General features: G+C 39.6%; 1 protein-coding gene across 6 annotated transcripts in view, besides 1 other annotated feature; it reads right to left on the bottom strand.

Moving 5' to 3' along the window:
* Positions 1 to 15,604, bottom strand: part of SEC23IP (SEC23 interacting protein) — a 51,928-nt gene that overhangs the window by 19,836 nt on the left and 16,488 nt on the right. For all 6 annotated transcript variants that reach the window (NR_037771.2, XR_246061.3, XR_007061940.1 and 3 more), the window contains 7 exons: positions 12,658 to 12,778; positions 10,003 to 10,092; positions 8,933 to 9,074; positions 6,778 to 6,986; positions 6,311 to 6,429; positions 5,226 to 5,378; positions 3,838 to 3,933 (listed from right to left, as the gene is read on the bottom strand). Coding sequence is in view for 3 of the 6 variants with exons in the window: in NM_007190.4 (NP_009121.1) it covers positions 3,838 to 3,933; positions 5,226 to 5,378; positions 6,311 to 6,429; positions 6,778 to 6,986; positions 8,933 to 9,074; positions 10,003 to 10,092; positions 12,658 to 12,778 (930 nt within the window). In the remaining 3 variants the exon portion in view is untranslated. The remainder of the gene's footprint in view (positions 1 to 3,837; positions 3,934 to 5,225; positions 5,379 to 6,310; positions 6,430 to 6,777; positions 6,987 to 8,932; positions 9,075 to 10,002; positions 10,093 to 12,657; positions 12,779 to 15,604) is intronic.
* Positions 2,828 to 2,997: an enhancer, noted in NCBI's record as "experimental_10320 CRE fragment used in MPRA reporter constructs". NCBI's record gives its function as "activates a minimal promoter by MPRAs in K562 erythroleukemia cells, with activity observed for the non-introgressed 10:121681422 variant allele {active_cell/tissue: K562}" and the evidence as "EXISTENCE:reporter gene assay evidence [ECO:0000049][PMID:34662402]".

Here is a 15,604-nt window from a genome sequence, read left to right as displayed (position 1 = left end):
TGAGTGACAGAGTGAGATCCTGTCTCAAAAAATATAATTTTTTAAAAGATCTATGCGTTTCCATAAATAAACAAAAGTTTTGGGGCATCTATATAAAAGGTGTTATCTCAGCTGGGCCCAGTGGCTGACGCTTGTAATCCCAGCACTTTGGGAGGCCGAGGCGGGCGAATCATCTGAGGTCAGGAATTTGAGACCAGCATGGCAAAACCCCGTCTCTACTAAAAATACAAAAAAAATTACCCGGGCATGGTGGCGCGCGCCTGTAATCCAGCTACTCAGGAGACTGAGGCAAGAGAATTGCTTGAACCTGGGAGGCGGAGGTTGCAGTGAGTCGAGATCCGCCACTGCATTCCAGCCTGAGCAACAGAGCGGGACTCCGTCTCAAAAAAAAAAAAGGTGTTATCTCTATAACGAGAGAAAAGCCATTCACACTGGTTTTCTAATTTGCCTTGAATACAGCAGCAACAATAACATCAGAGAAATTTAAACAGTTGGGTGGGAGGGGGACTTGTTAGGCTGTGAATGGCTAAGTGTTAGTCTCGATTTAAACAGCTATCGACAGTGCCTAAACAACCACAGCTGGCCAAAATGATCTTATTATTTAATTCCAAACACCAGGAAATCAGGAAAGTAAGTAACTGGTTAATTGAAAAGGCAATCTATAAAAAAGAAAACTCTTAGCCAGCTTGTAACTGTTTCCACCGTTAATGTTTTAGAAGGCTTGGTTATCTCTGCCCTTCGGAGGCAACACAAAATTAAGCCTAAAATCCGAAATAAGGAACATTTTCAGGGTTCCTCACTTTAAATCTGCTTTCTCACTCAGAAGTACCTCCTGTTAAATTCATAAAACATTCTAAATTGCTGAGAGCTGTCTAAGGAGATCAGAAACTGTCCTGTTGCCAAGAGTTGCTTTGTTAAATTTGCAATACTTTTTAAACTGTGAACCAACAGTGTTTAAAAGTGAACCAACATAGGCTGGGCGTGGTGGCTCACTCCTGTAATCCCAGCACTTTGGGAGGGCAAGGCAGGTGGATCACCTGAGGTCAGGAGATTGAGACCAGCCTGACCAACATGGTGAAACCCCATCTCTACTAAAAATACAAAAATTAGCTGGGTGTGGTGGCAGACGCCTATAATCCCAGCTAGTTGGGAGGCTGAAGCAGGAGAATGGCTTGAACCTGGGAGGCAGAGGTTGCAGTGAGCCGAGATCGTGCCACTGCACTCCAGCCTGGGAGACAAAGCAAGACTCCCTTTCAAAAAAAAAAAAACGGAACCAACATATACATACTTGACTATCAATATCCCCAACACTAGAAACAATTCCTTTTCAAATGAAAATTACTAAGATGCTTTAAAAAGAAAAAAAAAGCACACAGTCACAAATATCACAAATATTTGATCTCCTTGTTATAAAATAATCGCTAATTTTGGTCCCATTATTTCAGTTACAGTAAATCAACAGGACACACCATATTACTTTTGTATTGATCTAGTAGCACCTTGTTATCTGTAAGAAGTGTAAAGCAATCAATGGCAACTCAGCTGAGAAAGTTTCATGGTTCATCCAAAGGCAATTACCTTTTAATTTAAAAAATAAGATCACTCTATAGATTTTTGCTCATTTCAAAACATTCTTATAATGCCATAATTTATATATCTAAGCAACTGCAGTCCATAAACCAGTCTCCTTCTAGAAATTCTTCAAGAACTATAGAATCCTTTTCTACTTTTTTCCCTTTCATTACAGAATAAATTAAGAACATGGTGTAGGGCCTGAACACAAAGCTTCTCATTTCTTGTTTTTTTTGTTTTTTTTTTTATAGGCTTTTGCTTCACTGATGTATACACGGAGACAAGCATTTTTCTGTATGGAGCACGCAGCCTGTATACAGAAACAACACTGACATGCTTGTGTCCTAGTCTCAGTTTGACTATTGTGCTCATCAGAGACAAAAGCCTGGGGATCTACTCACAGGGTTGTTGTGAGGCTCAGGTGAGATGAAAAGCTCTTTGTAAATTGGAATTACAGAACGATTCAACACACAAGAAAAATGACATGAAAGATACCTCTTAACTGCCAAAACTAATAACCTTTCTCAGCACTTAATCAAATACTGCTTGTCTATGTCTAAAATGTCTTTTGAGTTGCTCCCTTCCTCTCCACCTCCTACCTTATACCCCTATCATCTCTCTTTCAGTCACTGTACAATTACAATTACTACTATGTAAGATTGCAGCCGCCTCCACTTCACGCCTTTCCAACTTCATCTGTGCACTGTGACCAAGCAAACTCTCCACAGTCCAAAAGTTAAAATTAAAATTTAGACTACACAGATGATTTGGTGCTAAATCATAACTTGTGATAGAATAAGCAGGTCAGCATTTTGTAATGTTTAAAAACACCATGACTTTCATGGCCATAAGAACATGTTTGAAAACCACTCCCTTACAAGAGAAAATCCAAGCCTCCACACCTGCCACCTGGGCCTTTGGAACCCTCTGCCCTTCCCAGTTTCCAGCTTCCCTGATGCTACAGGAAAACACATGCCAGATTCCAGAAGGCCATCTCCCCTGACCTTACCCCTCCTTCAAGCTCAAGCACCATCACCTTGGAGAAGTCTTCTCTCACCAACCCCATGCTTGTCTCAACAAGCCAGAACTGCCACCTCTCATCTGCCTCAGGACAGCACACACAGCACGCTATTATGGGGCTGGTATGTTGTCATTTGAGCTCAACGTGCTCCCCGCAACTAGACAGCACACTCTTGGTTAATCTCCGGCTCCCAAGAATTGAACACAGTGCCTGACTCAAAAGAGGTAGCTGCTATTCAATAAAATGCTGAGAAGACTCAATTCCTTAAGCTAACCATTAAAAAAAAAATCAGTCCTATGACTTTATAGTCATTTCCCATATAAAGAAATGATGTAGGTTAAGTTCCAAACAGGTAGTAAAATAATAGAACCATAGAAATTCAAAAGATGGAAGGATCATCAAAGAGCATGTTAATAACAATACAAATAAGACGGCCACCCTAAGAGTCATCTAATTTTTCTAATTAGAAAACCTCTGTAAAATTAATTTGATCAATAAATTAAAATTAATAAAACAAGTATATTTTCCAGTTGTTCTAGTTTTAAATGCTTTTTAGCTGTTGCCTTGTTTTGTATTGTTAACAATTTTTGCTGTTTAGTGTTTAAGACTTCAGTGTGTATGTTTTTCCTCATCTCTTTAGATGGTAAGGACTGGGAAGAAAGTGAGCTATTACTTGGTGCTAAGCTTTGCATGCATTATTTCATGCTTACTCCAATCCTGTAAGGAAGGTATTATTCCATTTTAGAAATGAAGAAAACAAAGGATCAGAAAAATTAAGAAAATCACTCATGATCAGAAGGCTGAGGCGGGAGGATAGCTTGAGCCCAGGAGTTTGAGACCAGCAGTGGGAAACACAGCAAGATCCCATCTCAAAATAAACAAATGAATAAAACCAAATACAAATTGCTCATTAATACGCAGTTAATGAGCAGTTGAGCTGAGAATTTATTTGTCAGAACTTAACCACTGTTTGCACCAGGAAAACCTTAAATATCCATTTTAAAACTGAAAGCCCTTCATCCTAGGAACTTAGTCCCAGGAAAACCAGGATGGTCACTTAGCCTAATGTGGACTTAAGCCCAACTCTGACTCCTAAGTCTGGGTTTCCATCAGCTCCATTACTGTGCCCTAGGTAGGGAGCAAACTAGCTTACCTAACCATAGTAGTATTAAAATTTTCTATAATATAAACGAGCTGGTCACACCATGAGTTTTAGTTTTTCTTGAGTCAGAGGTGAACTTTACCAGTTTGGCTGCTTTATGTTCTACAAAGTTAGCTATCTTCTTTCTGGGTCCAAGGGGTATCCCCATTTCCTTCAGGTCATCAACTGTACACATAAGCTTTAAAAGGAAACAGACAAGCACATTAATCAATCTAGTGATAGAAGAACTGAAATGAGAATATGAAAATTATAAAGAAACCACATCATCTAAAGCAATCTAAGAGCCACTCAACTTTTTACAAGTTAGTTATTTTGTATTTAAATCATGCATCAGTTTAGGCTATAAAATCTTAGGCTTCCACACCTAAATCATTCTATTAATTAACAGAAAATACACATATGGTATACAAAATTCCAAAGCTATAGTCAAGCATACGATGAAATATCTTCCTCCCACTGCTGTCCCAAACATAGAATTCTCCTCTCAGCGCAACTGTGGAAACTTGCTCTCTTTGAAGCGATGTCTTATGTATGCATAGCACTTACATGTTTTTCTCTGTGTGTGTGCTCTACTATGCACACAGTAATGAACTCTGCTCTCTTCATGTAAATGTACCTTAGAGACGGGTATCTCTGACACTGCATCATTCATTCAACAGCTGTAGGGTACTCCGTTATGCGGATGCACCATAAATGATTTCACTAGCACCCTACTCCTCAACACCAATGGTGTCTCTAATGTTTTGTTACCTTGCAAACACTGCTGTGAGTATCCTTGTAGATAATTCTTGTTTGAATATTTCTCTATAGGAAATATTCCTGGCAATGAAACTGATGAAGCAAAGGGTAATTTTTATATTCTTAAAGATATTGCCAAACTGCCTTCCAAAGAGTTTGTAATATTTTACAGTCTGACCAACAATATATAACAATGCCTAGTTCCCTTCACCCTGGCCACATAGCATATTTTCAAACTTCCTATTTTTTCAAACTGGTAAGTTAAAAAAAATCCCATTGTACTTTCAATTTCCATTTCTCTTATGAGTTTTCATATGCGAAGACACCATTTGTTATTTCCTTTTCTGTAAATCATGTTTATATTCTTTGCCTATTTACATATCACACTGATGTGATGGTCTTTCTGTAACTGATTTGTAGAAGCTTTGAAAATCAATGAAGTAAGCCCTCTGTCTATAATGTGTGTTGCAAATGTATCACTGGCCTTTAGATGTTGTTTATGGTGTCTACTGTTATACAATTTTTTTCTTTGATGGCTTCTGGATTTTGCATCATACTCAGAAAAGCCTTTCAGATTATAAAAAAATATTCTTCTGTGTTTTTCAATTTTTTAAAACATTTCAGTCTTTGTCTACTCTGGAGTGTATTTTGATACGAAAATGTTTATTCTTAATTTTCAATCTACACAAGAAAAACAATTTCAAACAAAATGAAGCAAACTATGATCAGTACCAGGGACTCCATATCAATCTTTTCCTTTTCAAAAGTGCTAAAATATTCAGAGAGGCTAAGTGCTTCCAGAGTTTCTTGCAAAGTTAGGACTTCTTTATTTTCAACAACAAGGTCATACGACTCATCCAAAGTCAGCTTTGGCTCTTCAGGCATCTTTAAAAAAAAAAGTATGAAAAACATTACAAGCTCAGAAAAACTCCCATATAATGACTGCTGATCTACGAAAACTCTCAAACAATTTTGCTTTACACAGAAATCATAATTTTAGGCACAGTACTTTGCCATTCAAAGTTTGAATATTCTGGCCAGGCCCAGTGGCTCACGCCTGTAATCCCAGCACTTTGGGAGGCTGAGGCAGGTGCATCACCTGAGGTCAGGAGTTGAAGACCAGCCTGGCCAACATGATGAAACCCTGTCTCTACTAAAAACACAAAAATTAGCTCAGCTTGGTGGCAGGCGCCTGTAATCCCAACTACTCGGGAGGCTGAGGCAGGAGAATCGCTTGAAACCGAAAGGCGGAGGTTGCAGTGAGCCGAGATCACACCATTGCACTCTAACCTGGGTGACAAAAGTGAAACTCCGCCTCAAAAAAAAAAAAAAATTGAATATTCTGAAAAGTATATAAATTTAATAAATCACTCAAGTCTCCATTTCCTATAATTTACATTTTTAAAAATCACAAACTTTCACATTTAAATTTATAACCCATAAAGAAGAAGAGTGAGAAACTCAAATAATGAGCTATATGATTCCATTCCATTTCTAAACCTCGGTGTACTTTAATATGTAAAACCAGTTTCAGGGCTGGACACGGAAGCTATTATATTTGGGCCTATAACTGTACTCTGAATTTGGGGATTCTCTGAAGAGTTATTGATGCCAGCACTTTGGGAAGCCAAGGCAGGAGGATCGCTTGAGGCCAGGAGGGAACTCAAGACTAGCCCAAGCAACCAATGAGGCTCAGTTAAAACAAACAAACAAACAAACAAACAAACAAAAGTTTCAAGAAACAGTTCAGACTTTTGAAAATTGTTCAGCTCCATAGACTCTAAATCGAAATGTTAATTGGCCACGTACAGACGTACCTGCTTTTCCTGAAAATGTAGCTGCTTCACAACTCCATTAGCAACAGCAAGAGGTCCAGGGCACTTTGATAAATTCAAATCTTTTTGATTAGACAGGATGTCAAACAATATTAAAGAACCTATGAAAAAGAAACATTTTGCCTTATAATGTAGTAGGTACTTTTATAACACTAATTCTTTTTTCACTGTCTATAGTCAAAAGTCATACAGAAGTTACATGTTATTCAAGACCTGATAATTAATTATTTTATCAAACAGCAGAATAAAGTAAAATACATAGCATTCCCTAGGTAATACTAGAGGTGAATATAGAAAAGGCAGAATCTAAACTCAGAGCATTCATTTCTACCTTTTCTGAAACTTAAAATCTGTAATTCTTAATTTTGCACTAACAATATCACCTACACTGAAAGCAGTTATGACTCAACAAAAATTGTATTTAAAATGTGAATATTTGACAGTTTTACCTAAACTGTGACCAGCAACAGAGACACCTCCTTTGAAGTCTGGGTTCCGACTCATAAAGAGTGCATGCAGATGGTTTATCTCCATTCCTACTTTTTCCACAATTGTCTGACAGTAGGTGGGGCTGTTATAAAATAAAATATCTAGCAAAGTTTCATTGGTAAAGTGACGAAATCGACCAATACTTGGCAAAGTGATTTTCTTAATATTCCTGTTTAAAAAGAAAAATACAGCACATTCAGTCAGCATCTACCTTAAATTTACAGATTTTTTTAAAGTTTAGATTTTTGACTCCTGAAAATACACTAAGAAAACCCCACAGACTATGAGTTGTTTCTGTAGATAGTCATTATAAATAAATCAAGATAGGCCAGATGCGGTGGCTCACACCTGTAATCCCAGCACTTTGGGAGGCTGAAGTGGGTGGATCACTTGAGGTCAGGAGTTCAAGACCAACCAGGCCAACATGGCGAAACCCCGTCTTTACTAAAAATACACAAATTAGCCGAGTGTGGTGGTGTACACCTGTAATCCCAGCTACTCAGGAGGGTGAGGCAGGAGAACTGCTTGAACCTGAAAGGCAGAGGTTGCAGTGAGCTGAGACTGCACCACTGCATTCCAGTCTGGGCGACAGAGCAAGATTCCACCTCAAAAAAAAAAAAAAAAATTTAAATCAAAAGTTAGCCACAAGTCATGGCACACACCTGTACACCCAGCTATTTGGGAGGTTGAGGCATGAGAATCGCTTGAACCCAGGAGGTGGAGGTTGCAGTGAGCCGAGATTGTGCCACCACACTCCAGCCTGGGTGACAGAGCGAGACTCCACATCAAAAAAAAAATTAAAAGTATAAATAAAGGTAAACCAAAAAAATTTGTGCTGCCACATGTGGTGGCTCATGCCTGTGATCCTAGCACTTTGAGAGGCTAGGGCAGGAGGACCGCTTGAGCCCGGGAGATCAAGACCAGCTTGAGCAACACAGTGAGACCCCATCTCTACAGAAAATTTAAAAATTAGCCAGGCATGGCGGCTTGCACCTATAGTCCCAGCTACTTGGGAGACTGAGGTGGGAGGATCACTTGAGCCCAGGAGGCCAAGTCTACAGTGAGCCATGATCATGCCAGCGCACTCCAGAGCCTGGGTGACAGTGAGATGCTGTCTCAAAAACAATTCAGTTTTTTTTTTAAAGTTATTTGTGCCTATAACTATACTATGAATTTTGGGATTCTCTGAAGAGTTAGTTGCTATATAAGTCATATGCAAAGATTTCTATTTTATTTTTAAAGAGGGAAGATTACTCTTCCATTTTTCTTCCAGTTAACTGCAAATCTGGACACCTGACAAAACTTGTGGGTCAAAAGGACTAAAGAGAATATCAAACAGAAAAAACAGGGCTACATGGAATGAAAAATCTTCCCTAATTTGAGAATGACCAAAATGAAGTTTAGGAATACACACAGAGAAAGAAAACACCCTTACAATAGGGCCTAACATAGACAAAACGCTGTTTGTAGAAATAGTTTTATTAAACTATGTACCCTGAAACATTACGGTGTTCACTAAAATCTAGACATGTGCCAGCATAACTATTACCTGTATTTATGATTCTCAATTGGGAGCATTCAAAATTGAGCAGAGTATTTTTAATTGTCACAGTGCCTGGTGAGCACTGCTAGTACTGAGTGGCCTTTACACTAAGGAAGTTAAGTGGTCTGCACTGCGACAGCAAAGAATTGTCCTGACAAGAGCATCTCCACTGAGAAACAATATTCTGAATCTGTGGTTCTCAGCCAGGGGTGATTTTTACCCTCCAGGGGACATCTGGCAATTTCTGGAGACATTTTTGTTGGGGTGGAAAGCCCATTAGGCATCCTACTACATAAAGGACAGCCCCCTGTCTAAACTGCTACAGATTAAAATTGTATTTTAAAACCAGCTAAAATTTCTTAAGATTCTCTTAAATATTTACAAAAGGAATGCACACACACAGAGAGAAAAGTAGTGTGTAAACTTTACAGCCAATATTTAATTATATGTCAGAAGTATACAATTTTTAAAAACATATTGATTGAAGCTACAATAAACTATTTCATATTACGGTTTAAATCTTAAATTTAAATATGACTAATCTGAAAAACAAGTTATCAAAATCCACAAACCTGTCCACACCTGTGGCGTCCCCACCCAAAGAACTATGCCAATGAACTGGAAGGAACTCCACTCTGCTTACTTTCCCGTCATCTAAAGATTTCTTGAAATGTGTCCGCAGCAATTTGAGAGAAACCACCCTAAAATCATCCACTTCAAAAGAAAAAAAAAAAAGAGAAAATAAATTAAATTCTCCTAGCTTGATAGCTAGTCAGCAGTTACCTCAAATATGCCAGTATTTTTAATAACATAAAGATACATTTTTTAAAGAAAAAAATGAGGATAAGAGAATTAGTAAAATTTTTTAAAAAGAAAGGAATAAGTAACTTTTGGGAACCTCTTTTAAACTTTCCATTATTGCAAAGGAATAGATGCTTGGGATATATCAGTTTAACCACCACTGCTGGGAGGTAGCGTGGCACCTTGGGGAAAGGCTCTGGAATCACACTGCCGGCTCCAGGCTCCAGGCCCTACTGACTGTGATAAGGGAGAGTTTCACTTACCCCCAACCCCTACCTTACCTCTTCACCCCCAACCCCCACTATCCCAGGCCTCAGTTCCTCATTAGTCACAGTAGTGGCGATAACAGTGACAGCGCCTATACCCCAAAGGTTTATTTGTGAGGGTCAAATGACAAGGCATCTAAGATACTTGGCATATACCAAATATTCAATAAATACGAACTATTATTACATGGACATAAAAATAAAACTTCAAAAATTTAAGTCAACCAGGCAGATTCATGTTTCCATTAAACAACTTCTCCCAACTCACTGACTATAAATCCATTCAATGCAGAGGTGCTCCTAGCTGCTGCAGGTGCTCAGGCAAAGGCTGTCAACAAGGCTAAACTACTTCCAAGATCCCTTCTAATTCCTCACAGTCTGGGATTGTATGCGTCACATATGTCACAAGAGCAAATCAAGTACAACTTAGTATTTCCCACTGACCATTTAAATTTCCTCTTACAGACTCCTCAGCAAGTAGTACACAGCTGGGAACTATCCTAAAAATGAATACTCCAAAGCTCTTCTATTAGTTCTCAGATCATCCCATGAAATACAATATACCCAACACTTACCACACTCAATAATGCTCCTAAAGCGTAAGTCACACACAGGTCCAATGCCATGCACCACAAACACCAAATGGTCAACTTGAGGCATCTCCCCTATCAAAAAAAATTTTTAAACCTACATAAAAGATGGGAATTTGTTTGGATTTTCCTAATGGCAATATTCTAGATATCCCTTTCGTCATCACAAACTTGCCAAAGAAATTCATGACCCTTCAAAGAGAATAAGCCTCATTACCCCTATCAAATTAGAGGAACAATTTGTCCCTCTTGGCATATAAAAGCGAACTAGAACAAGAGGTGGAGGCAGCAGGCTCTCTCTGTTCCTGGAAGCTAATAGCACATGATGAGCAGCAGGTTTGTATCTATGGAGGCTCCACAACCTTGTGATGCTTCAGAACTCCCCAGGACACTAAGCCCCAGTGGAGATTACTCAGATTTCATCGTGTGAGTATTTATTTTACAAGAAACATACATTTTATTGAAACATTTTACATACACTTCAATAAACATGAAGTGTATGTAATTGTAAAAATAAAATCCATTCTTAAGTAATAGTACAGAAGAAACCAAAGCACATACACCAAAGCAGGCAATGGCAAACAATGGCCCACAGGCCAAATCCTACCCACATCCTACCTGTTGTTTTGTTTTGTTTTGTTTTGGAGATGGAGTTTCACTCTTGTCGCCCGGGATAGAGTGCAATGGCGCCATCTCGGCTCACTGCAACCTCCGCCTCCCGGGTTCAAGCAATTCTCTTGCTTCAGCTTCCTGAGTAGCTGGGATTACAGGCACCCACCACCACGCCCAGTTAATTTTTATATATGTATTTTTTTAGTAGAGACAGGGTTTCACCAAGTTGGCCAGGCTGGTCTCGAACTCCTGACCTCAGGTGATCCACTTGCCTCGGCCTCCCAAAATGCTGGGATTACAGGCGTGAGCCACCAGGCCCAGCCACCTGCTTTTATAAATAAAGTTTTTGACGAAGGGGAAACCATTCAAGGAAAAACATAAAAATAACATAAAGTTTTGTGGGCCGGGTGTGGTGGCTCACGCCTGTAATTCCAGAACTTTAGGAGGCCGAGGCACGTGGATCACTTGATGTCAGGAGTTCAAAACCAGCCTGGCCAACATGGCAAAACGCTGTCTCCACTAAAAATACAAAAATTAGCCGGGCGTGGTGGTGGGCGCCTGTAATCCCAGCTACTCGGGAGGCTGAGACACAAGAATTGCTTGAACCCAGCGGGTGCAGGTTGCAGTGAGCCCCAGATCACGCCACTGCACTCTAGCCTGGGCAACAGAGTGAGACTCCATTCAAAAAAAAAAAAAGCTTTATGGAAAACGGATATGCTCATTTGTTTACATACAGTCTTCAGCTGATTTCACACAACAATAGCAAAGCTGAGTAGTTTGTAACAGAGTCCATGTGGCCTGCAAAGCCTATCTGCTATCTGGCCCTTTACAGAAAAAGTCTGCAATCCCCGCACCAGAGGAATACAAACCAGTGAGGTGTAAAACCACAAGCCTAAAAGTGTTGCCAAACCTTAGTTCCAACCAGCAAAGTGCTTCTCCACACAACAAAACATATTTTAGAATCTATACTATGTGGTATGTGTATTTTAACAGAATTCCAAATTTAAAGATAAAGATATCTGTATGTCCTCACTCATATGTAGGAACTAAAGAAGTTTATCTCATGGAGGTAAGGGCAGAATGATGGCTACCAGAGCCTGGGAAGGGTCGGGGGGAAGTGAAGATAAAAAGGGGTCAATTAATGGGTACAAACATACAGGTATGTTGAAGGAATAACTTCTACTGTTCGATAGCACAGTAGGGTGACAACAGTTAACAATAATTTATTGTGTATTTCAAAATACCTAGGAGAGGTAGGGTGCGGTGGCTCACACCTATAATCCCAGCACTTTGGGAGGCTGAGGCAGGTGGATGACTTGAGGCCAGGAGTTTGAGACCAGCCTGGCCAACGTGGTGAAACCACATCTCTACTAAAAATACAAAAATTAGCCGGGCGTGGTGGTGCACGCCTGTAATCCCAGCTACTCGGGAGGCTGAGGCAAGAGAATCGCATGAACCTGGGAGGCGGAGGTTGTAATGAGCTGAGATCACGCCACTGTACTCCAGCCTGGCCAACAGAGTGAGACCCTGTCTGAAAAAAAAAAAAAAAAGAAAAAGAAAAAGAAAAATACCTAGGAGAAAAGATCTGAAATGTTCCCAACACAAAGAAATGATGAATGTTTGAGGTGATAGACATAATACTTACTTCAATTTCATCATTACACATTCTATGCATTTATCAAAATATCAGGTGTACCCCATTAATATGTATCAATTAAAAAATAAAGATACAAAAGTAATAAAATCAAAAAGAAAGATATGGCCAGGCACAGTGGCTCACGCCTGTAATTCCAGCACTCTGGGAGGCCGAGGCAGGCAAATAGCTTGAGCTCAGGAGTTCGAGAAAAGTCTGGGCAACATGGCAAAACTTCATCTCTACAAAAAATAGAAATATTAGCTGGGAGTGGTGGTGCAATGGCTGCTGTGGCAGGGCATTCTAATAACTGTTTATTTCTTCATCATTCTAAAGAATGATGCTAAAATGGAGAGGACTAAAACAGACCTCAGTTCTAAACAAACTATACACACCGTCGGGAATTTCATCAAGGTTATCATCAATTCCACGCTTTACAACCCTGGGCCTTGTCTGTCCATCTTGCGTGGTGCCCCATTCATCTGGCACTGAGGAGGGCTGGAACTGAACAATAACCTTCAAGATGCAACAGAATTATGACAAAGCTCATTAACAAATTCTTTTCCACTACAGGCTAAGTAGTTTAACACATAATAAGCTATACCTCAGAGTACGGAGAGTTTATAAATTATTAGTACTGTTCCCCCAAAACAAACTTTGAAGGAGTCTTGCTAGTGTTCATTAACCACCAAAATTAAGCAAATCGATACCTTTCCAATGCTTATGTTGAAAATTATACAATTAAATCAGAAGTATTACACCTTGATTTAAAAGCTAATAACATAGGCCAGGTATGGTGGCTCACACCTGTAATCCCAGCACTTTGGGAGGCTGAGGTGGGAGGATCACTTGAGCCCAGGCGTTCAAGACAAGCCTGAGCAATATGGTGAGACCCATCTCCACAGAAAACTTAAAAATTAGCCAGGCATGGTAGTGCATGCCTGCAGAACCAGCTTCTCAGGAGGCCGAGGCAGAAGGATTGCTTGAGCCCAAGAGGTCGAGGCTGCAATAAGCTGTGTTTGTGCTACTGCACTTCAGCCTGGGCAACAGAGCAAAATCCTGTCTCAAAAAAAAACTAAACAAAAATAAAAGCTAACATAAAACTCCAGGTTTACACAAAAGAAATCAAGGACAGGCCCGGTGCAGTGGCTCATGCCTGTAATCCTAACACTTTGAGAGGCCAACATGGGAGGACCGCTTGAGCTCAGGAGTTCCAGAGCAGCCTGGGCAACAAAGTTAGAGACCCTGTCTCTACAAAAAAAAAATAATAATAATAAAATAAAAACAAAAAAAGAAATCAAGGACAAGTAACCTGCAATTGAAGAGTCTTTGTCTTATAAAAACAAGTAAAGCAAAATCCTTTCAAAATAGTAAGATTCCCAATTAAACTACAATTTCAATTTCAGTGACAAAAACATAATGACAAAACCCTACCACTTTTTAGGAAATCCATTCTGTTAAACCAACTGTATTAAATTCAGCCCTGTACCACAAAGAAAATTTTCTTTAAAAAAAAAAAAAAGAATATATACTTGATGTAGTATGCAAAATGTTTATCTAAAAAAAAAAAAGGTTAGCCAAGCGTGTTGGCTCACACCTGTAATCTCAGCACTTTGGGAGGCCGAGGCAGGAGGAAGACTTGAGCCCAAGAGTTCAAGACCAGCCTGGGCAAGATAGCAAGACCCCATCTCTGCAAAAAAAAGTCTTAAAACTGGCCAGGCAAGGTGGCGCACACCTGTAGTCCTAGCTACTCGGGAGGCTGAGGCAGGAGGATCCCTTGAGCCCAGAGTTCGAGGATGCAGCGAGTTGTGATTGGCCACTGCACTACAGCCTGGGTAAGGGAGTGAGACCTTATTTCTTAAAAAAACAAACAAAAAGATTAAGAGTGGTTACTATGGAGAGGAGAAATGAGGAAGGCAGAGATAGGAGGCTTTTATTTTTCATTTAATATCCTTTTAAACTGTTTACATTTTGTTGGCATATGAATGTTATTTTTATTTCAGTATCAATAAGGACTATAGAAGTAGTTGGATTATAAGTTTTTTATATACTTTTCTATAAAAACAAATGAATAAATAAAAAGCCTATGTTCTCAGAAACTACTGTGTGCTAAGCCCCATGCTAGATGCTTTTGCATAAATTACCTTACTTCATCTAAAATATGACCCTGGGAGATCATTATTGCAGGTGAGGAACTTGGAGCTCTGAGAAATTAAGGTTGGCAAATGATAGAATCAGAATACCAGCAATCAATATTTTTTTAAAAACAAGATAAACTCATAGAGACGATAAAAATAAAAAGAAAAAGGACACATTTTTACTTGAAAGGTTAGAGCAAACCACATCAAGGGCAGACAGGCATACTACAGCCCACAGAAAAATCTGGCCATCTGTTTTTATAAATAAAGATTCATTGAAAATATCATACCCATTGGTTTACACATTGTCTCTGGCTGCTTTCACACCACGGTGGCAGAGCTGGTGGCTTCAACAGGGAACATGTAACTTGCAAAGCCTTAAATATTTTGTCTCTGGCCCTTTATAGAAAAAGCTTGCCAACTTCTGATCAAGTGAAAAAAATTATCAAGCAACTTCTACATTGCATACTAAACTCCAGTTATCATGTTGCCATAAACAGAAACTTCATAAGAAATACTTATTTTATTTATTTATTTAGACAGAGTCTTGCTGTGTCACCCAGGCTGGAGTGAGCGTGATCACAGCTCACTACAATCTCAAACTCTTGGGCTCAAGTGATCCTCTATCTCAGCCTCCCGAGTAGCTAGACAGGTGCACACCACTATGCTCAGCTAATTTTTTTAATTTTTGTAGAGACAGAGTCTCTTTGTTTCCCAGGCTGGTCTCAAACTCCTAGCCTAAAGCAATCTTCCCACTTTGGCTTCCCAAAGCGCTGGGATTACAGGTGTGAGCCACCACACCCAGCCTGAGAAAAATTTACTTTTTATTTTGAGACGAGGTCTTGCTCTGTCACCCAGGCTACTAGAGTGCAGCGGGGAGCAATCCTGACTCACTGCAGCCTCAACCTCTCGGGCTCAAGTAATCCTCCCACCTCAGCCTCTTGAGTAGCTGGGACTACAGGCATGTGCCACTACACCCAGCTAATTTTTCTATTTTTTATAGAGACAGGGTTCTGCTGTCCCCCTGGCTCAAGCATTCCACCTGTCTCAGCCTCTCACAGGTGTGCACCTCGCCCTACGAAAAATTTGTGTTTTTGTTTCTATGATCAGTGTGAATCATAGAAATAATATCTGTATTATCCACTATAATAATAAAGTATTTTAAAAGCAATGCACTTGTTACAAAAACATTCCCACTGTAGAA

Source organism: Homo sapiens, chromosome 10 (assembly GCF_000001405.40).
Source record: "Homo sapiens chromosome 10, GRCh38.p14 Primary Assembly".
NCBI lineage: Eukaryota > Metazoa > Chordata > Mammalia > Primates > Hominidae > Homo > Homo sapiens.
The sequence above is the reverse complement of the archived record's forward strand: the minus strand, read 5'-3'. Positions and strand labels throughout refer to the sequence as shown.